General features: G+C 45.8%; 2 long non-coding RNA genes across 4 annotated transcripts in view; one reads left to right on the top strand and one right to left on the bottom strand.

The window, feature by feature from the left end:
• LINC02987 (long intergenic non-protein coding RNA 2987) overlaps positions 1-23,050 on the bottom strand; it is a 231,539-nt gene that overhangs the window by 159,992 nt on the left and 48,497 nt on the right. The window lies entirely within an intron of this gene.
• LOC105372348 (uncharacterized) lies at positions 3,522-15,343 on the top strand. Its single transcript, XR_935885.3, has 3 exons — positions 3,522-3,789; positions 13,085-13,152; positions 14,909-15,343. It is a non-coding gene; the product is annotated as an uncharacterized LOC105372348 (long non-coding RNA).

Raw genomic sequence — 23,050 nt, 5'->3', positions numbered from 1 at the left:
AACCAAAAAAGAGAATTTTAGACCAATATCCCTGATGAACATCGATGCAAAAATCCTCAATAAAACACTGGCAAACAGAATCCAGCAGCACATCACAAAGCTTATCCACCATGTTCAAGTGGGCTTCATCCCTGGGATGCAAGGCTGGTTCAACATACGCAAATCAATAAACGTAATCCAGTATATAACAGAACCAAAGATGAAAACCACATGATTATCTCAATAGATGCAGGAAAGGCCTTCAGCAAAATTCAACAGCCCTTCATGCTAAAAACTCTCAATAAAGTAGGTATTGATGGGATGTATCTCAAAATAATAAGAGCTATTTATGACAAACCCACAGCCAATATCATACTGAATGGGCAAAAACTGGAAGCATTCCCTTTGAAAACTGGCACAAGACAGGGATGCCCTCTCTCACCACTCCTATTGAACATAGTGTTGGAAGTTCTGGCCAGGGCAATCAGGCAGGAGAAAGAAATAAAGTGTATTCAATTAGGAAAAGAGGAAGTCAAATTGTCCCTGTTTGCAGATGACATGATTGTATATCTAGAAAACCCCATCGTCTCAGCCGAAAATCTCCTTAAGCTGATAAGCAACTTCAGCAAAGTCTCAGGATACAAAATCAATGTGCAAAAATCACAAGCTTTCCTACACACCAATAACAGACAAACGGAGAGCCAAATCATGAGTGAACTCCCATTCACAATTGCTTCAAAGAGAATAAAATACCTAGGAATCCAACTTACAAGGGATATGAAGGACCTTTTCAAGGAGAACTACAAACCACTGCTTAATAAAATGAAAGAGGACACAAACAAATGGAAGAACATTCCATACTCACGGATAGGAAGAATCAATATTTTGAAAATGGCCATACTGCCCAAGGTAATTTATAGATTCAATGCCATCCCCATCAAGCTACCAATGACTTTCTTCACAGAATTGGAAAAAAACTACTTTAAAGCTCATATGGAACCAAAAAAGAGCCTGCATTACCAAGTCAATCCTAAGCCAAAAGAACAAAGCTGGAGGCATCACGCTACCTGACTTCAAACTATACTACAAGGCTACGGTAACCAAAACAGCATGGTACTGGTACCAAAACAGAGATATAGACCAATGGAACAGAACAGAGGCCTCAGAAATAATACCACACACCTACAACTATCTGAGCTTTGACAAACCTGACAAAAACAAGAAATGGGGAAACAATTCTCTATTTAACAAATGGTGCTGGGAAAACTGGCTAGCCATATGTAGAAAGCTGAAACTGGATCCCTTCCTTACACTTTATACAAAAATTAATTCAAGATGGATTAAAGACTTAAATTTTGGAACTGAAACCATAAAAACCCTAGAAGAAAACCTAGGCAATACCATTCACGACATAGGCATGGGCAAGGACTTCATGTCTAAAACACCAAAAGCAAAGGCAACAAAAGCCAAAATTGACAAATGGGATCTAATTAAACTAAAGAGCTTCTGCACAGCAAAAGAAACTACCATCAGAGTGAACAGGCAACCTACAGAATGGGAGAAAATTTTTGCAATCTACCCATCTGACAAAGGTCTAATATCCAGAATCTACAAAGAACTCAAACAAGTTTACAAGAAAAAAACAAACAACCCCATCAAAAAGTGGGCAAAGGATACGAACAGACACTTCTCAAATGAAGACATTTATGCAGCCAACAGACACATGAAAAAATGCTCATCATCACTGGCCATCAGAGAAATGCAAATCAAAACCACAATGAGATATCATCTCGCACCAGTTAGAATGACAATCATTAAAAAGTCAGGAAGTAACAGGTGCTGGAGAGGATTTAGAGAAATAGGAACACTTTTACACTGCTGGTGGGACTGTAAACTAGTTTAACCATTGTGGAAGACAGTGTGGCGATTCCTCAGGGATCTAGAACTAGAAATACCATTTGACCCAGCCATCCCATTACTGAGTATATACCCAAAGGAATATAAATCATGCTGCTATAAAGACACATGCACACGTATGTTTATTGCAGCACTATTCACAATAGCAAAGACTTGGAACCAACCCAAATGTCCAACAATGATAGACTAGATTAAGAAAATGTGGCACATATACACCATGGAATACTATGTAGCCATAAAAAATGATGACTTCATGTCCTTTGTAGGGACATGGATGAAGCTGGAAACCATAATTCTCAGCAAACTATTGCAAGGACAAAAAACCAAACACCGCATGTTCTCACTCATAGGTGGGAATTGAACAATGAGAACACTTGGACACAGTAAGGGGAACATCACACACCGGGGCCTGTTATGGGGTGGGAGGAGGGGGGAGGGATAGCATTAGGAGATATACCTAATGTAAATGACGAGTTAATGGGTGCAGCATACCAACATGGCACATGTATATATATGTAACAAACCTGCAGGTTGTGCACATGTACCCTAGAACTTAAAGTATAATAAAAAAAAATATATATATATATATATATATATATATATATATATATGAAAAAAGGAAAAAAAAATAAAAAAAGAATACTTGAGGTAAGCCAGGAGCCTTTCCTCTTAGTATGGATGAGGTCAGCCATGCGTCTCTCCCCTTATAATACCTGAGGTTGGCCAGGTATCTCTTTCAATAGAATGAATGAGGTCAACCAGGTGTCTCTCCCCTTAGAATGCTTGAGTTCAGCCAGGTGTCCCTATCCTTAGATGCCTGATGTTGGTCAGGTGTCTATCCACTCAGAATGCCTGAATTTGGACAGGAGACTCTCCCCTCAGAATGCCTGATGTCAGCCAGGAGTTCCTCCCCTTAGAATGATGGAGATCATCTGGCTGTCTCTCCCATTAGAATCCCTGAGTTAGGCCAGGAGTCCTTTCCATTATAATGCCTGAGGTTGGCCAGGTGTCTCTCCCCTTAGAATGCCTGAGGTCATCCAGAAGACTCTCACGTTAGAATGCCTGAGGTCTGCCACATTTCTCCCCCATTAGAATGCCTGAGGTTGGCCAGTAGTCTCAATCTTTTGAATGCCCGAAGTTGGCCAAGAGTCTCTGTTAGAAAACCTGAGGTTGGCCAGTTGTTTCTCTCATTAGAATCCCTGAGGTAGACCAGGTGTCTCTACCCATAGAATGGCTGTGATCGCCTAGGAGACACTCCCTTTAGAATGCCTGAGGTCGGCCAGGTGTCTCATGTTAGAATGCCTGAGGTCGGCCAGGAGTCTCTCCCATTAGAATGACGATGGTCGGACAGGTGCCTACCATTAAGATAAATGAGGTCAGCCTGGTGTCTCTCCCATCAAAATGAATGAGGTCCACCAGGAGACTCTCCCTTTGAATGCCTGAGGTTGGCCAGGTGTCTTTCTCATTAGAATGCCTGTGTTTGGCCAGTGTTTCTCCCCTTAGAATATCTGTGGTCAGACAGGTGTCTGTCCCATCAGAATGAATCAGATTGGCCAGGAGACTCTCCTCTCAGAATGCCTGAGGTCGACAAAGACTCTCTATGGTTAGAATGCCTGTGGTCGACCAGGAGACTCCCCTTAGAATGCCTGAGATAGGGCAGGTGTCTTTCCACTCAGAATACCTGATGTCGGCCAGGGACCCCTCCCCTTACAATGCCTGAGGTCAGCCAGGTGTCTCTTTCACTAGAATGTTTGAGATCGGCCAGGTGTATCTGCCATTACAAAGAATGAAGTTGGCTTGATGTCTCCCCATTAGAAAGCCTGAATTCAACCAGGAGTTTCTCCCATTAGAATGCCTGAGATCGGCCAGGACTCTCCTGTGAGAATGGTTGTGGTAAGCCAGGAATCTCTCCTCTTAGTATGAACAGGTCGGCCAGGTATCTCTCCTCTTAGAATGCCTGAGGTTGGCCAGGTATCTCTTCCAGTAGAATGAATGAGGTTGGCCAGGTGTCTCTCCCATTAGAATGCTTGAGGTCGGCCAGGTGTCTCTTTCTTTAGAAGACCTGAGGTTGGTCAGGTATCTCTCAACTCAGAATGTGTGAGGTCGGACAGGAGATCCTCCTGTTTGAATGTCAGAGATTGGCCAGCTGTCTCTCCCATTAGAATCCTTGAGTTCAGCCAGATGTCTCTCCCATTAGAATGCCTGATGTCAGCCGGGTGTTTCTCCCCTTAGAATGCCTGAGGTCAGCCAGGTCTTTCTCCCCTTAGCATACCGGAGGACAGCCAGGAATCTCTCCCATTTCAATGCCTGAATTCGGCCAGGAGCATGTCTTCTTAGAATGCCTGAGGTCAGCTAGGACTCACTCCCATTAGAATGCCTGAGGTCAGCCAGCTGTTTCTCTCAAGTGCCTGGGATTGGCCAGGAGACTCTCCCCTTAGAATGCCTAAGGTTGGCCAAGTGTCTCTTGTGTTAGAATGTCTGAGGTTGGCCAGGTGTCTCTTTCATTAGAATGCCTGAGGTTTGACAGGAGTTTCACCAGTTAGGATGAATGACGTCAACGTTGTGTCTGCCCTGTTGGAATCCCTGAGGTTGGCCAGTTGTCCCTCGTCAGAATGCCTGAGGTCGGCCAGGAGACACACTCGTTAGAATGCCTGAGGTCGGCCAGGTATCTTTCTCCTTAAAATGCCTGTGGTCGGCCAGGTGGCTCTCCCCTTAGAATGCCTGTGTTCGGCCAGGTGTCTCTACCATTAGAATGAATCAGGTTGGCCAGATGTCTCTCCCCTTAGAATGCCCGAGGTCAGCTAGGTGTCTCTCCCATTAGAATGTCTGAGGTCGGCCAGGAGTCTCTCACTTCAGAATGTCTGAGGTTAGCCAGGAGTCTCTACCATTAGAATGCCTGAGATTTACCAGGAGATTCTCCCCTTAGAATGCCTGATATATGACATGTGTCTCTCCACTCAGAATACCTGAGGTCGGTCAGGAGTCTCTCCCCTTAGAATGCCTGAGCTCGGCCAGGAGTCTCTCCTCTCAGAATGTCTCAGGTCAGCCAGGAGTCTATCGTTAGAATGCCTGAGGTCGGCCAGGAGTCCCTCCCTTTAGAATGCCAGATGTAGGGCAGATGTTTCTCCACTCAGAATTCTTGAGGTCAGCCAGGAGTCCCTTCCCTTAGAATGCCTGAGGTTAGCCAGGTGTCTCTCCCATTACAATGCCTGAGGTCGGCCAGGTGTCTCTTCCCTTAGGATGCCTGAGGTCAGCCAGGATTCTCTCCCATTAGAATGTCTGAAGTCAGCAGGAAGTCTCTCCCAAGACTTCCTGAGGTCGGCCAGTCGTCTCTCCAGTTAGAATGCCTGAGGACAACCAGGAGACTCTCCTTTTAGAATGCCTGAGGTTGACAAGGAGTCTCTTCCATTAGAATGCTTGAGTTCTGCCAGGGGTCTCTTCCCATAGAATGCCTGAGGTTAGCCAGGAGGCTCTCCCCTTAGAATGCCTGCGGTTGCCCAGGTTTCTCTGTTAGAATGCCTGAGGTTGGGCAGGAGTTAATCCCATTAGAATGAATGAGGTCAGCCTGGTGTCTCTTCTATTAGAATTCCTGAGATCGGCCAGGAGTCTCTCCAATCAGAATGCCTGAGTACAGCCAAGAGATCCTCCTCTTGGAATGCCTGAGGTCGACCAGTTGTCTCTCTTGTTAAAATGCCTGAGGTTGGCCAGGTGTCTCTCTCCTTAGAATGTTTGTGGTTGGCCAGGTGTCTCTCCTGTTAGAATGAAGCCGCCAGCTGTCTCTCCCATTAGAATGCCAGAGATCAGCAAGGTGTCTTTCCCATTAGAATGCCCAAATTTGGCCAGGAGTCTCTCCAGGTAAAATGAATGAGGTCAGCCAGGTGTCACTCTCATTAGAATGCCTGAGGTCAGCCAGGAGTGTCTCTTGTGTTATAATGCCTGAGGTAGGCCAGGTGTCTCTTTTGTTAAAATTCCTAAAGTCGGCCACACGTCTTTCTGTTTAGAATAAATGAGGTCGGCCAAATGTCTCTCTCCCAGAATGCCTGAGGTCGGCCAGGTGTCACTCCTGTTAGAATGAATGTGGCTGGCCAGGTTTTTCTCCCTTTAGAATGCCTGAGTTCAGTTAGGTGTCTCCCCTGTTAGAATGCCTGCAGTTGGCCAGGTATCTCTCCCATTAGAATGTCTGTGGTCAGCCATGATGATCTCCCAATGGAATTCTTTTTTTTTCAGAGTAACTTTCTTTTTTTCTCTCCCTCTTTTTTTAAATTATACTTTAAGTTCTAGAGTACATTTGCACAACGTGCAGATTTGTTACATATGTATACATGTGCTTGTATAATTGTGCCGTGTTCGTTTCTTGCACCCATTAACTCACCATTTACATTAGGTATTCCTCCTAATGCTATCCCTCCTCCAACTCCCACTCCACGACAGGACCCAGTGTGTGATGTTCCCTGCCTTGTGTCCAAGTGTTCTCATTGTTAAATTCCCACCTATGAGTGAAAATATGCGGTGTTTGGTTTCCTGTCCTTGTGGTAGTTTGCTCAGAATGATGGTTTCTGGCTTCATCCATGTCCCTACAAAGGACATGAACTCATCATTTTTTTATGGCTGCACAGTATTCCGTGGTGTATATGTGCCTCATTTGCTTAATCTAGTCTATCATTGATGGACATTTGGTTTGGTTCCAAGTCTTTGCTGTTGTGAATAGTGCTGCAATAAACATACATATACATGTGTCTTTATAGTAGCATGATTTATAATCCTTCAGGTATATACCCAGTAATGGGATGGCTGGGTCAAATTGTATTTCTAGTTCTAAATACTTGAGGAATCACCACACTGTCTTCCACATGATTGAACTAGTTTACAGTCCCACTAACAATGTAAAAGTGTTCCTATTTCTCCAAATCCTCTCCAGCACCTGTTGTTTCCTGACTTTTTAATGATTGCCATTCTAACTGGTGTGAGATGGTATCTCATTGTGGTTTTGAGTTGCATTTCTCTGATGGCCAGTGATGATGAGTATTTTCTCATGTGTCTGTTGGTTGCATAAACGTCTTCTTTTGAAAAGTATCTGTTCATATCCTTTGCCCACTTTTTGATGGGGTTGTTTGGTTTTTCTTGTAAATTTGTTTGAGTTCCTTGTATATTCTGGATATTAGCCCTTTATCAGATGAGTAGATTGCAAAAATTTTCTCCCATTCTGTAGGTTGCCTGTTCACTCTCATGGTAGTTTCGTTTGCTGTGCAAAAGCTCTTTAGTTTAATTAGATGCCATGTGTCTATTTTGGCTTTTGTTGCCATTGCTTTTGGTGTTTTAGTCATGAAGTACTTGCCCATGCCTATGTCCTGAATGATATTGCCTAGGTTTTCTTCTAGGGATTTTTATGGTTTTAGGTCTAACATTTAAGTCTTTAATCCATGTAGAATCAATTTTTGTATAAAGTGTAAATAAGGCATCCAGTTTCAGCTTTCTACATATGGCTAGCCAGTTTTCCCAGCACCATTTATTAAATAGGAAATCTTTTCCCCATGTCTTGTTTCTGTCAGGTTTTTAAAGATCAGATGATTGTAGATGTGTGGTGTTATTTCTGAGGCTTCTGTTCTGTTCCATTAGTGTATATCTCTGTTTTGTTATGAGAACCATGCTGTTTTGGTTACTGTAGCCTTTTAGTATAGTTTGAAGTCAGGTAGCGTGATGCCTCCAGCTTTGTTCTTTTGGCTTAGGATTGACTTGGTAATGCAGGCTCTTTTTTTGGTTCCATATGAACTTTAAAGTAGTTTTTTCCAATTCTGTGAAGAAAGTCATTGGTAGCTTGACTGGGGAGGCATTGAATCTATAAATTACCTTGGGTAGTATGGCCATTTTCACAATATTGATTATTCCTATCCATGAGCATGGAATATCCTTCCTTTTGTTTGTGTCCTCTTTCGTTTTATTAAGCAGTGGTTTGTAGTTCTCCTTGAAGAGGTCCTTCACATCCTTTGTAAGTTGGACTCCTAGGTATTTTATTCTCTTTGTAGCAATTGTGAATGGGAGTTCATTCATGATTTGTTTCTCTGTTTGTCTGTTATTGGTGTGTAAGAATGCTTGTGATTTTTGTACATTGATTTTGTATCCTGAGACTTTGCTGAAGTTGCTTATCAGCTTAAGATTTTCGGCTGAGACGATGGGGTTTTCTAAATATACAATCATGTCATCTGCAAACAGGGACAATTGGCTTCCTCTTTTCCTGATGGAATACACTTTATTTCTTTATCTTGCCTGATTGCCCTGGCCAGAACTTCCAACACTATGTTAAATAGGAGTGGTGAGAGAGGGCATCCTTTTCTTGTGACAGTTTTCAAAGGGAATGCTTCCAGTTTTTGCCCATTCAGTATGATATTGGCTGTGGGTTTGTCATAAATAGCTCTTATTTTCAGATATGTTCCATCAATACCTAGTTTATTGGGAGTTTTTAGCATGAAGGGCTGTTGACTTTTGTCAAAACCTTTTTTGCACATATTGAGATAATCATGTGGTTTTTGTCTTCGGTTCTGTTTATGTGACGGATTACGTTTATTGATTTGCATATGTTGAAATAGCCTTGCACCCCAGGGATGAAATCAACTTCATCTTGGTGGATAAGCTTTTTGATGTGCTGCTGGATTTGGTTTGCCAGTATTTTATTGGGGATTTTTGCATCAATGTTCATCAGGGATATTGGTCTAAAATTCTCTTTGTTTGTTGTGTCTCTGCAAGGCTTTGTTATCAGGATGATGCTGGTCTCATAAAATGAGTTAGAGAGGATTCCCTCTTTTTCTATTGATTGGAATAGTTTCAGAAGTGATGGTACCACCTCCTCTTTGTACCTCTGGTAGAATTCAGCTGTGAATCCATCTGGTCCTGGAATTTTTTTGGTTGGTAGGTTATTAATTGTTGCCTCAATTTCAGAGCCTGTTATTAGTCTATTCAGCGATTCAACTTCTTCCTGGTTTAGCCTTGGGAGGGTGTATTTTTCCAGGAATTTATCCATTTCTTCTAGATTTTCTAGTTTATTTGAGTAGAGGTGTTTATAGTGTTCTCTGATGGTAGTTTGTATTTCTGTGGGATCGGTGGTGATATCCCCTTTATCATTTTTTATTGTGTCTATTTGATTCTTCTCTCTTTTCTTCTTTATTTGTCTTGCTAGTGGTCTATCAATTTTGTTGATCTTTTCAAAAAACAGCTTCTGGATTCACTGATTTTTTGAAGGGTTTTTATGTCTCTATCTCCTTCAGTTCTACTCTGATCTTAATTGTTTCTTGCCTTCTGCTAGCTTTTGAATTTGTTTGCTCTGGCCTCTCTGGTTATTTTCATTGTGATGTTAGGGTGTCAATTTTAGATCTTTCCTGCTTTCTCTTCTGGGCATTTAGTGCTATAAATTTCCCTCTACACACTGCCTTAAATGTGTCCCAGAGATTCTGGTATGTTGTGTCTTTGTTCTTATTGGTTTCAAAGAACATCTTTATTTCTGCCTTCATTTCGTTATGTACCCAGTAGTCATCCATGAGCAGGTTGTTCAGTTTCCATGTAGTTGTGCAGTTTTGAGTGAGTTTCTTCATCCTGAGTTCTAATTTGATTGCACTGTGGTCTGAGAGTTTGTTGTGATTTCTGTTATTTTACATTTCCTGAGGAGTGCTTTACTTCCAATTATGTGGTCAGTTTTGGAATAAGTGTGATGTAGTGCTGAGAATGATGTATATTCTGTTGATTTGGGGTGGAGAGTTCTGTAGATTTCTATTAGGTCTGCTTGGTGCAGAGTTGAGTTCAAGTCCTGGATATCCTTGTTAACCTTCTGTCTCCTTGATGTGTCTAATATTGACAGTGGGGTGTTAAACTCTCCCATTATTATTGTGTGGGAGTCTAAGTCTCTTTGTAGGGCTCTAAGGACTTGCTTTATAAATCTGGGTGATCCCGTATTGGGTGCATATATAGTTAGCTCTTCTTGTTGAATTGATCCCTTTACCATTATGTAATGGCCTTGTCTCTTTTGATCTTTGTTGGTTTAAAGTCTGTTTTATCAGAGACTAGGATTGCAACACTTGCTTTTTTTTTGCTTTCCATTTCCTTGGTAGATATTCCTCCATGTGTTTATTTTGAGCCTATGTGTGTCTCTGCCTGTGAGATGGGTCTTCTGAATACAGAACACTGGTGGGTCTTGACTGTTTATCCAATTTGCCTGTCTGTGTCTTTTAATTGAGGCATTTAGTCCATTTACATTTCAGGTTAATATTGTTACATGTGAATTTGATCCTGTCATTATGATGTTAGCTGGCTATTTTGTCCATTAGTTGATGCAGTTTCTTCCTAGCATAGATGGTATTTACAATTTGGCATGTTTTTGCAGTGGCTGGTACCAGTTGATTCTTTCCATGTTTAGTGCTTCCTTCAGGAGCTCTTGTAAGGCAGGCCTGGTGGTGAAAAAATCTCTCAGTATTTGTTTGTCTGTAAAGGATTTTATTTCTCCTTCACTTATGAAGCTTAGTTTGGCTGGATATGAAATTCTGGGTTAAAAATTATTTTCTTTAAGAATGTTGAATATTGGCCCCCACTCTCTTCTGGCTTGTACAGTTTCTGCTGAGAGATCAGCTGTTAGTCTGATGGGCTTCCCTTTGTGGGTAACTCGACATTTCTCTCTGGCTGCCCTTAACATTTTTTCCTTCATTTCAACTTTGGTGAATCTGGCAATTATGTGTCTTGGAGTTACTCTTCTCAAGGAGTATCTTTGTGGCATTTTCTGTGTTTCCTGAATTTGAATGTTGGCCTGTCTTGCTAGGTTGGGGAAGTTCTCCTGGATGATATCCTGAAGAATGTTTTCCAGCTTGGTTCCTTCTCCCTGTCACTTTCAGGTACACCAATCAAACATAGATTTGGTCTTTTCACATAATCCATATTTCTTGGAGGCTTTGTTCATTTCTTTTTACTCTTTTTTTCTCTAAACTTCTCACTTCATTTCATTAGTTTGATCTTCAATCACTGATACCGTTTCTTCCACTTGTTCAAATCGGCTACTGAAGCTTGTGCATGCATCACATAGTTCTTGTGCCATGGTTTTCAGTGCCATCAGGTCATCTAAGGTCTTCTGTACACTGTTTAATCTAGTTAGCCATTCATCTAATCTTTTTTCTAGGTTTGTAGCTTCCTTGCAATAGGTTCAAACATCCTCCTTTAGCTCAGAGAAGTTTGTTATTACTGACATTCTGAAGCCTACTTCTGTCAACTCGTCAAAGTTATTCTCTGTCCAGCTTTGTTCCATTGCTGGCGAGGAGCTGCAATCCTTTGGAGGAGAAGGGGTACTCTGGTTTTTAGAATTTTCAGCTTGTCTGTTCTGGTTTCTCCCCATCTTTGTGGTTTTATCTACCTTTGGTCTTTGATGATGGTGACCAACAGATGGGGTTTTGGTGTAGATGTCGTTTTTGTTGATGTTGATGCTGTTCCTTTCTCTTTGTTAGTTTTCCTTCTAGCAGTCATGTCCCTCAGCTGCAGGTTTGTTGGAGTTTGCTGGAGGTCCACTCCAGAACCTGTTTGCCTGGGTATCACCAGTGGAGGCTGCAGAACAGCAAATATTGCTACCTGATCCTTGCTCTGGAAGCTTCATTCCAGAGGGGCACCCAGCTGTATGAGGTATCACTTGGCCCCTACTGGGTGGTGTCTCCAAGTTAGGCTACATGGGGGTCAGGGACCCACTTGAGGAGGCAGTCTGTCAGTTCTCAGAGCTCAGACGCCATGCTGGGGAACCACTGCTCTCTTCGGAGCTGTCAGACAGTGATGTTTAAGTCTGCAGATGTTTCTGCTGCCTTTTGTTCAGCTATGCCCTGCCCCCAGAGATGGAGTCTACAGAGGCAGGCAGGCCTCACTGACCTGTGGTGGGCTCCACCCAGTTCGAGCTTCTCGGCTGCTTTGTTTACCTACTCAAGCCTCAGCAATGTCGGAAGCCCCTCCCCCAGCCAGGCTTGCTGCCTTGCAGTTCGATCTGGGACTGCTGCACTAGCAGTGAGCAAGGCTCCTTGGGTGTGGGACCTCCTGCGCCAGGCACAGGATGTAATCTCCTGGTGTGTCATTTGCTAAGACTGTTGGAAAAGTACAGTATTTAGGTGGCAGTGTCCTGATTTTCCCGGTATAGTCTGTCATGGCTTCCCTTGGCTAGGAAAGGGAAATCCCCCAGGCCCTTGCATTTCATGGGTGAGGCGATGCCCCAAGCTGCTTTGACTTGCCCTCCGTGGGCTGTACCCACTGTCCAACCAGTACCAATGAGATGAACCAGGTACCTCAGTTGGAAATGCAGAGATCACTTGTCTTCTGTGTCAATCATGCTGGGAGCTGCAGACCGGAGCTCTTCCTATTCATCCATCTTGGAACAGTGTGTCCCCAGTGGAATTCTTGAAGTGGTCCACGTGTCTACTTTATTAGAATGCATGTGGTCGGCCATGAGACTCTCCCCATAGAATGTCTGAGGTCGGCCAGGTGTTTCATGAGAAAGAATGTGGTCAGCCAGGGGTCTCTCTTTTTAGAATGAATAAGTTCGTACAGATGTCTCTCCAATTAAAATGCCTAAGATTGGTCAGGCGTTTCTTCCACTAGAATTCTTAATGTTGGCCAGATTTCTCTCCCCTTATAATTCCTAAGGTCAGCCATGTTTCTCTCCACATAGAATGCCTGAGATTGGCCAGTAGACCCTCTTCTCAGAATGCCTGAGGTTGACCCAGAATCACTCCTTTTAGAATACCTGAGGCTGGCCTGGTGTCTCTCCCATTGGAATGCTTGAGGTCGGCCAGAAGACTATCCTCTTAGAATGCTTGAGGTTGGCCAGGAGTCGCTCCCCACAGAATGCCTGAGGTCAGCCAGTAGTCTCTACTGTTAGAATGCCTGACGTCAACCAGGAGACTCTCCCCTTAGAATTTCTGAGGTAGTCCAGGTATCTCACCACTCAATGCCTGAGGTCAGCCAGGAGACTCTCACTTCAGAATGCCTGAGTTCATCTAGGAAACCCTCCCCTTATAATGGCTGTGGTGGTCCAGGCATCTTTCCCATTAGAATGCCTGAGGTTGGCCAGGTGTCTCTCCCCTTACAATACCTGAGTTAGACCAGGAGTCTCGCCCTTAAAATGACCTCAGACACGGGCCAGTGGCTAAGTATGGCACCCGCGGCTGACAGCTGTTCCACACAGGGTCCAGAGCAAGCTTCCCTCCCCACTGCAGCTCCTGTGAAAGGGCCTGCTGGTCGACCTCAGACAAGGTGAGCCAGTGGCCATGTACGGTGCTGGCAGTCAACATCGTGATGACCCAGAGGCCCGAGGGAGTGAGGAGCAGCTGGTGGGTGAAGGTGGCCGGGTGTGGGACACTCGGGGCCAGGACTTTCAAGACCCTGACCCATCCTGAGCCTGGCTCACCCCTCAAAGGGCATCTCACTTGGTCCAGTGGGCTTCCCTCCCCAGTGCTCTGATGAGAAGACCTGCTGGTCGACCTCGGACACAGCAAGCCAGCGGCTAAGTCAGGCGTGGCTGGCATCTGGTTGACCCGGAGGCCTCAGTGACTGAGGAATGGCCAGTCCATCGATGGTGGCTGGGTGTGGGATGCTCAGGGCCTGGAGCCATACCAGCATGGTCAGGACTCTGACCCGTCCCGAACCCAGCTCCCCGCTGCAGCCCGTGTTGCACTCGGTCCGCCGGGCTTCCCTTCTCACTGCTTACTCCGGGGGAGGGCTTGCTGTTTGACCTCCGACACTGTAAGCTGGCGGCTAAACCAGGCGCTCACGGCTGAACTCTTGTCAACCCGGAGGCCTGAGCGAGCGAGGAGCGCCGGCCAACACAGGTTGGACGGGTGTAGATGGGTTTGCAACGCTCAGGTCCCAGAGTGGTGCTTGCCAGGTCAGGACCATGAATTGCCCAGAGCCCTGCTGACCTCCGTGGCCCACGTCTTGATTGGTTCACTGAGCATCCCTCCTTACAGCTCACTCCGGTGAGAGGGCCTGCTGGTCGACCTCAAACATGGCGAGCCGGAGGCTAAGTCTGGCGTTCGTGGCCGACATCTAGTTGACCCGGAGACCTGACAGAGGAGCGGCCAGCAGGCCGGATGCTGAGGGTGGAGGGTAGTGGGACACTTGGGACCAGAAGTCATACGGGACCTCCCCATCGCTCCCTTCCCCCACCCTGGTAGACCTGGGCAACAGAAAGTGGAGGAAGGGTGCACAAGAGTGGCCCAAGTCCCAGTGTGCCCACACCCTGCCGCAGTGCAGAGGAGATCTGGAACTCAGAAAGCCCCCCCCACCCCGCCCCTGGGCCCACGCGGCCACCCCTGGTAAAGGACTGCCTCAGCTGTCCCCAACATGCTCCCAGAACCCCATCCCAGCCCGAGGATGAGCCCTCCATGGTGTAGGAGGAGGAGGCGGGAACCAGAGTGGCTGGACACCAAGCAGGGGTGCTGCCCTCATTCACCCAAACCACGAAGTCCACTGGTTGAGACCCAGCCAGGGTGAAACTTTCCTACAGAGGGAGGCCTCAGGAGCGAAGGGGGAAAAAAATCACAACTCCAGTTCGGACCGCCCAAGCAGGTGGAAGGCTATAGATGAGAATGCAGTTATTTAGTTTATTGTTGGTTTCATCTTCAGTGGTGGTGGTGATGAAAGAGGCATGACACTAAATTGATTCTTAGGACACTCCCCTCCCTCCTCACCCCACACCCCTTCCCCACACACACCCTCGCCCCTGCACCCCCTGCTCAAGCCCAAGAAAGGAAGAAAAACAGAAAGCAAAGTAAGAGGTCAACCTCCAAGGCGGTGGAGATGGGGGATCTGTTAGGGTAAGCAAGGGGTCCGGGGGGCGGCAGATGTCGTTGCTGAGCTAGCAAAGGTAGGGGACTGACTTTCTAGCCCCACTCCACCCCCTAAACCCCAGGGGAAAACAATACTGGGTAGATATCTGGATTCTGGTGCACACTACCATTATCACTGTTTTCCATGTTGATGTTCATGCCTTTTTGCTTTCTCTTGACAGACTAATCAGCAGGCAGACCAACAAGCTAAAATTTCTACTATTACTGCCGACTCAGACCTGGAAGAAGTAGATTGGGCTGCAATCACACAATGGGTGCATCACCAGTGCGGACACCTAGGCGTACAGGGAACCATGGCTTGGGGAGTGTAAAGAAGGATGTTACCCCAGGATGCAGTTCAGACAATTTTATCCCAATGCACTACATGCCAACAGTTAAAAACCAAGCCAATTCCTCAAAGGGCTATGGGGCACATTCACCGGGGAAAAATGCCAGGACAAATTTGTCAAATGGACTATATTTGTCCCTTGCCACTTTCTAAAGGGTGCCAATATATATGTACTGCTGTAGACACCTACTTAGGGCTCCTAGTAGCCTGTGCTTATGCTAATGCTAACCAAATTAACACTATTAAAACATGAAATATCCTAATTCTATATGATGGTGTGCCCATACAAATTCAAACAGACAATGGCTCCCATTTCAAAGGTGAAGCTGTACAAACCTTTGCAGCCCAAGATGGCATTGAATGGATTTTCCCATATTCCTTACCACCTGCAAGCAGCTGGTTTAACTGAAAGAATGAATGAGTTATTGAACAAACAGTTGAAAGTGTTAGGGCAAGGTAAGTTAGAAAAATGGAAGGATCACCTGTTTGACACATTACAAAATTTAAACAATTGGCGATTAACAACATCTGAAACCCCAGTGAGCCAAATGCTTACCCCACACCTACAAATTGCTAAGTGTGCCAGTGTAGTCCAACCTCTCTCGCTAAAATTCTAGAAAATCCACCCGGAGGCTATACTCCCATGAAAGAGTACAATAGAAGCTACTGGCTTGGACTTACATAGTTTCAAGTCTGGGATAATTCCTGCCCAAAGTACATACATGGTGGCCTCAGGCCTAGGAGTTATAATACCTCGCAAACACTGCAGATGGGTTACATCCTGATCAGGTCTTGCAATGTGGGGTCTTACGGTACATGGGGGCATAACTGACAGTGATTACTGGGGAGAGTTGAAGGTCATTTTATACAATACCACTCCAGATTCTTTTGCTATAAAACTGCAGATGCGGGTTTCTCAATTGTTAGTGACACCTTGTCAACAATTAACCCCTGAGGAAATCTCTGCCCCAAAAGAGGCTACTTATGGAACTGGGGGATTCGGATCCACTGGTACAAGTAGCTTAAATCCTGGAGCCAAAATATGGGTACAGTGTCCATCAGATCCCGTCCCTATGTCTGGTAACCTTGTAGCTATGGGAGCAGAAAATGAAGGCATAGTACAATTTCCTAAAGAGGAAAAACAATATAATGTGCCCCTCCATTTTTCTTATTAAAGAGGATAACCTGTTTGCTAGTAATCAGTACCTGGGTTATCATGTCTGAGCCAAGAATGAGTTCATCAACTGGGTAGCCACCACTGCAACAGAAGCCAACCGCAGTCAATGCTGGCTATGTGTCTAATTGCCAGAGGCCACAGGAAATGGACTACCTTGGAGAATCATCCCTGCCGATGTTTCTGAATGCTATGTCGGCACCAATGAGGCCACAACAACAACACTTGCAATCGAACCCAGACTTTTTTTGGCCAAACCAAGCATTCTGTCTTTGCTCAAGTTGGACAAAAGATTAACTCCACCCTTGCCTTATGTCAGAAGCCTTGGTATTCTGCCCAATATACCTGGAATGGCATATACCTAGAGCCTGCCATGTTGGTGGCTGGACTCCATATAGCCTCCGCTTTGTTTGGAGGCCTTGAATGGCTCCTCCAATGGCACTCTGGCATTTCTCCTTCCAGACAATTGTCAACACATACTCCAAATCAGTGACACTGCTCCTAATGAAACACAATCTCTTTCCTACTTTAATAACACCTTAATACACTATAATTATAGTAAAACCATTGCTGTTCCCTGGAGGGCCCTCTGGGTATGCAGATCCTACAGATGGTGATACCTGCCCCCACACTGGGCAGGAAGATGCATTGGGGGTGGCCATTAATTCCATTCACCATCTGGGATGATATTCCCCTCCCCAGTAATTGAGATGCTTACAAACATTGCTGGTTGTGAATGCGCCAGACTCCCTGGTGGTGGTACCCTATCACAGTATTCTCCCCTGCCGCTGGTACAATCCTGCTTCAGCAACAAATTAAAATATTAAGTTTCCATGTAGAAAAAGCTCTTGAGAGTAGCACTGGATTTATGTTGTTATCGATGAATTTGCTGAGCTGCATACTGTTGTGTTGCAAAATCGAATGACATTAGATATGCTTACTGCAGCCCAAGGAGAGTTTTGCTCCTTACTGCATACTGAATGTTGTGTGTATATCCCTGACAATTCTCACAGTATTACTCTTCTTGCCCAAGACATGCAAAAACAGGTAAAACAGTTGGAATCTAACCAGTAGGACCCCATCAAGGACTGGCTATCCAACTGGCATTGGCATTGGCCATAGTGGGTGTGGTTTTTATTAATTGTGATTTTAATTCTCCTGTGCTTACCCTGTATCTGTAATCTATATCAACTGTGCCTTCCCCATGTATCTGTAAGGGTATTTTCCTACAATTGAGTATCAAATTGAGGCCGAATGTGGAGGAAAACTTAAATATCAAATTTGAACTCAGTTGAACACGGACAGAAACAATGGTCACCACGTCCCGGAAGAGGTTGTGTGATCCCCTTGAGGTGTTCATCCAGCACTGTTGTGGAGAAATCTCTATTTCAATCTATTCCTATACATTAGTTAGTGTAGCTCCAGCTGGGGGCAGTGGCGGGCACCTGTAGTTCCAGCTACTGGAGGGGCCCAGTCAGGAGAATCACTTGAGCCCAGGATGCAGAAGTTGCAGCAAGCCGAGATTGCCCCATTGTGTGTGTGGCAGGCCAGGTCTCACTAACTAAGGCGGGCCTCTGCAACAACCGTTTCAGTACTGACCAAGTGGCTAAGTTAAATATTAAAAGCTGAGAGAACCAGTGCACTCTTGCAAAGGGTGGAATGTCGCAAAAGTCCACCAAGAGTTTTCACTAGGACTTTCCTGGGCCTGCCTTGGAGCATGACAAGATGATGAGGGAATTCTTAACAGGACCATTTAAGATTAAATAAGTTTAATTGGGGGTCTGAAAAAACTCCCTGTTAGGGTCACCCCGACCAGACCCTTCCCCTCCCACAGGCCTCACAATACACTCCCTTGTGCTCTCCACACAGCTACCCCAGGGCAAAAGACAAACCCCTGCCTTCACTGAGCCCTCCAGTATCTGTTTGTCCAGACAGTTATAGGATGCGGTTAACATATCTCTTAACCTCGCATAACAAAGCTGGCAAAAAACATCTCCAGGATGCAGTTGAGACACCTGCATCCCCAACTCAGCTCCTCTACTGGGACCCAGTTCTCCTGCCCCGACTCAGCTCCCCGACCCTGACCTGGTTCTGGCCCTGTAAAACCCTGCTATAGTCTGTAAGTGGGGCTGCCTCCTCTAACTGTGATGGAGCAGCCAAGCAGCTCAATAAAGCTTGCTTGTCTGACTTTGGGTCTCCTCATCCTTTCTCTCAGCTGACCTTACATTTCTGGTGCTGAAACTCAGGAAGGTGGTAGAGTTTGGCCTCCCTTTCTCCCTTTCTCCTTCCCTCCATTCTTCCCCCGGCCGAACTACCCCTTCCAGAACCTGCTAGAGACCCAAGGATCTCATACAGCCTTTCCATCGCTTGGTGAACACATCCGACACCAGGACCACCTCAGGGGTGAGTAAAGGAGACTTTTGCCTTCGGTCTGGAACCCTTGTCTACTCTTTCCTTCCTGAAAGACCTAGCACTGGGCCAAGGGTTTCCTCCTCCCGGCCTCTAGGCCCTTGGTATCTCCCTTTCGGGGATGCCTGAACGGAGGATTATCGCACTTCTCCGACTTGAACCGTGGGACAAGGGATGCCTTCTCCCACCATTCTAGCCAAGTCTCCTGTCTCTACCCCTCCCTTTCTCATTTCACTAAGGGAGCCTCCCAATCCACTCCCTCAAAGACATCCCCCCCCCGCCCCTTGGGTATCTCCTCTGTAACATTAATGCCCTTATCCTCCATTCCAAAATTTGGCCAAAAAAACCTCATCTTTTATTGTAACACTCCCTGGCCAAAATATAAACTAGACAATGGCTCCCAATGGCCTGAAAATGGCACTTTCAATTTCAACATTCTCAGGGACCTAGACAACTTCTGCCATCGCAATGGAAAGTGGTCAGAGATCCCTTATGTTCAGGCTTTTTTTTGCCCTCTGTAGCCGTCCCTCCCTCTGTCAGTCCTGCTCTACTTTCCAAATCCTCCTCGCCTGCTCCAAACCCGACCCATCCTCAAACACCCCCCTCCACCACTCCTAGTGACAATTCCTCCTTCTTTGACCCTGCCAACTTTCCTTCTCTCTGACAACACCATAATCCTCCCCCAAATCATCACAATCCTCCACCATATGCTCCCGCTCCTGCCTTACCTCTTTCCCCTCCTCTCTCCTAACCACCCAACTTCTGATTCTGATTGCTCCCCATCTCCACTTCATACCTGCTCTCGGACTCAGCATGCCCAACAGTCGGCCCCCTTACTTCCCCTCCGAGAGGTGGCTGAGGCTAAAGGATTCGTTCACATCCACATTCCCTTCTCCCTCTCCAACCTTTCCCAAATTAAGAACGGTCTCAGGTCCTTTTCCTCCAATCCTGACACTTACATCAAAAAGTTCAAATACCTCACTCAATCTTATAAACCCACTTGGCATGATCTCTATATTATCCTTTCTTCTACTTTCCTCCCAGAAAAACAAAGAAAAGAGTGCAGCTTGCAGCTCAGGCACATGCTGACGATCTTCATTGGCAAGACCCTCCTAAGCCCATAAAGGCTGCTGCATTTCCCCGGGAAAAATCCTCCTGGGAGTACCAACCCACAGAGCCCGGCTGGCATCTCATAACCACATGATCACTTCCTTATTGCAGGCCTTAACGAAGCTGCCCACAAGGCCGTAAACTTTAAAAAACTCAAAAAAAAAAATCTCCCAAAGGGCCAATGAAAATCTTGCCAAATTTCTTTCCCGCTTTACAGAGGCCCTCCAAAAATACACCAGTGTTGACCCCACCTCCCAGGAAGGAACTATTGTTCTTAATACCCATTTCATCTCTCAGTCTGCTCCTGACATACAGCGCAAGCTCAAAAAGGTAGAAGATGGCCATCAAAACCCTCTACAAGACCTTCTTATCCTGGCCTTCAAGGTTTTCAACAACAGAGATGGGCAAAATAAATTAAATAAAGCCCAACAAGATCAGGCTAAATACCAGCTCCTAGCAGCAGCTATCTACCCAGGCTGCCCAGAGGCTCAAAAGACCCAATAGCAGTGACCCTCCTGGGCCCTGTTTTAAGTGTGGCAAAGAAGGCCATTAGGCCTGAACATGCCCTAACCCACGAATACCAAAAACTCCTTGCCCAGCCTGCCAACAAACCAGTCAATGGAAGTCTGATTGTCCTCTTAACAAGTAGACTAACAGGCCGGTTCCTCAAAGCCCTGGCAAATCAAAGAGTGAAGAGTCACTCACACTCCCACACCTCCTTGGCCTGGCTGCTGGAGACTGACAGAGCCCAGGGCCCCCGGCCCCATCTGCCGTCACTGCATTGGAGCCCAGGGTAACTCTGCTAATAGCAGGTAAACCGATCTCTTTTTTAATCAACAGTGGAGCCACCTAATCGGCTTTACTTGTATTTTTAGGACCCATTTACCCTTCCCAGGTCTCTGTTGTGGGGGTTGATGTACTCTTCTCATGTCCATGCACTACTGAATCCCTTACTTGTTCCCTATTTAATACTGTTTTTTCACACTCCTTCCTTATCATGCCTCATTGCCCCACCCCCATCCTAGGCCGAGACATTTTAGCCAAATTCAAGGCTTCTATCAACTTTTTCTGTCCCCCTCAACCAGAGTCTCTCCTGCTCCTCTCTGCTAGTCCAGCCTCTGATCCCTCCTCCCCAGCACCCGCTAGCCGCCTCCCTCATTAATCCAGTAGTGTGGACACCACCACCCCTTCCATAGCTGCTCACTAGGACCCCATCAAAATCCAGTTAAAACAACCCTCTAAATTTCCCAATGTTCCCCAATTCCCCATTTCCCTAACATACCAAAAGGGCTTACAACCCATCATAAACAAGCTCTGCTCATGCAGTCTTCTTAGACCAACACACTCTCCGTATAACACCCCCATCCTCCCTATTAAAACATCTGATGGCTCATACCACTCATCCAGGACCACCGAGCTATCAATCAGGCTGTCCTCCCTATTCATCCTGTAGTCCCTAACTTCTATACACTTTTCTCTCTTGTCCCCTCCAACACCACCCACTATACAACAATTGACCTGAAAGATGCCTTCTTCACCATTCCCCTACACCCTGATTCCCAAAACCTCTTTGCTTTCACCCAGACTGACCCCAACACTCTCCAGTCACAACAACTCACATGGACTGTCCTCCCTCAAGTCTTCAGGGATAGCCCTCATTTCTTTGGGCAAGCCCTAGCCCAAGACTTCACCTCCTTAAATCTTTCCTCCAGCTGCCTTCTTCAATATGTAGATGACCTCCTCCTCTGTAGCCCCTCCTTAAAAATCTCCCAAACTCATGCTGCCACCCTTCTCAATTTCCTTACTAATAAAGGCCATAGGGTCTCCCCCTCCAAAGCACTGCTTTCCACCCCTATGGTGACCTGCTTAGGACTTCAACTCTCCCCCAGGTCCCAAGCCATGACCCTGGCATCAGCAGCCTTAATAGTCAGCCTATCTCTACCTTCCTAAAAAAGCAAAATCCTTTCTTTCCTAGGGATAACAGGCTTTCTAAAAATATGGATTCCCAACTTTGCCCTCCTAGCTTGCCCCCTTTGTAAAGCAGCCAAAGACCCCTCAACAAACACCTAAACTCCTCACATAACATACTCCCCAACTTCCACAAACTCTAAACCAATCTTATCACTGCACCAGCTCTGTCCTTACCTAGTATATCCCAACCTTTCACTCTCTATACTGCCAAAAACCAAGGAATAGCCCTTGGTGTCTCAGGACAACAAAAACAAAATCCCTCTTCCTTTGCTCCTGTAGCCTACCTCTCTAAACAACTCAGCAACTCAGTCAAAGGGTGGCCAACCTGTCTTAGAGCACTGGCAGCAGCCACAGTTTTAGCTCTAGAAAGCAAGAAACTAACATCAGCCAAAATACCACGGTCTACAGTCCTCATAGTCTACAAGATCTCCTCTCCTCCCAAGCATTAAGCTCTCTTCCTCCTTCCCAGATTCAATTACTCCATGGCCTCTTTATCAAAAATCCCAAATTCTGCCTTGCCAAAAGTGCTCCCCTCAACCCAGCATCCTTACTTCTTGTATCCTCTTCCCTTCCTACTTATTCTTGCACTGACATCCAAGACCACCTGCAGCCACACTTCCCAAACATTTCCTCCAAGACTCTCACCAACCCCAGTGACCAGCTGTTCATAGATGGCTCCTCTTCCAGGCCCACTGGCTCCCCCAAAATTGCTGGATATGCAGTTGTTTCTCTTGACCAAGTAATTAAAGCCAGGCCCTTACCTCCAGGAACCTCCTCCCAAAAAGCAGAACTTATAGCTCTCACCAGAGCCCTAACCCTTCCCAAAGGTAAACAAGTCAACATTTATACAAATTCCAAATATGCCTATCACATCCTTCATTCCCATGCTGCCATCGGCAAAAGAGAAGATTCTGTCTCAGCTAACCTCTCTGGCTGCTAGTAGAAACAAAATGCCCAACCGTGGGGCCATGAAGTTACCATGTGAACCGAGCTGCTCATCACAAACTGGCTGTAAATGGGTGTGCACAACAGCACTTCAGCATAACACAGAAGCTGTGTGGACCTGATCAGGTCTGAACAGACCCTGAAGCACAAGTAAGTTCCATGAGGAAGTGGCCCAAATGCCTATGGTCCCCAGTCAAGAAATGAGCTGAGTTAAGGAACGACATATAATTTTATAGTGTCGTTGCTGCCTCAAAAGTCGAGAGGCATATGTTTCACTGTGGGTTTTTTTCATTTTTTTTTCCTGGAAACTCATTTATTTTTAAAAATCGCAATTTAAGCTAGGCGCGGTGACTCACACCTGTCGTC

Source organism: Homo sapiens, chromosome 19 (genome assembly GCF_000001405.40).
Source record: "Homo sapiens chromosome 19, GRCh38.p14 Primary Assembly".
NCBI lineage: Eukaryota > Metazoa > Chordata > Mammalia > Primates > Hominidae > Homo > Homo sapiens.
The sequence above is the reverse complement of the archived record's forward strand: the minus strand, read 5'-3'. Positions and strand labels throughout refer to the sequence as shown.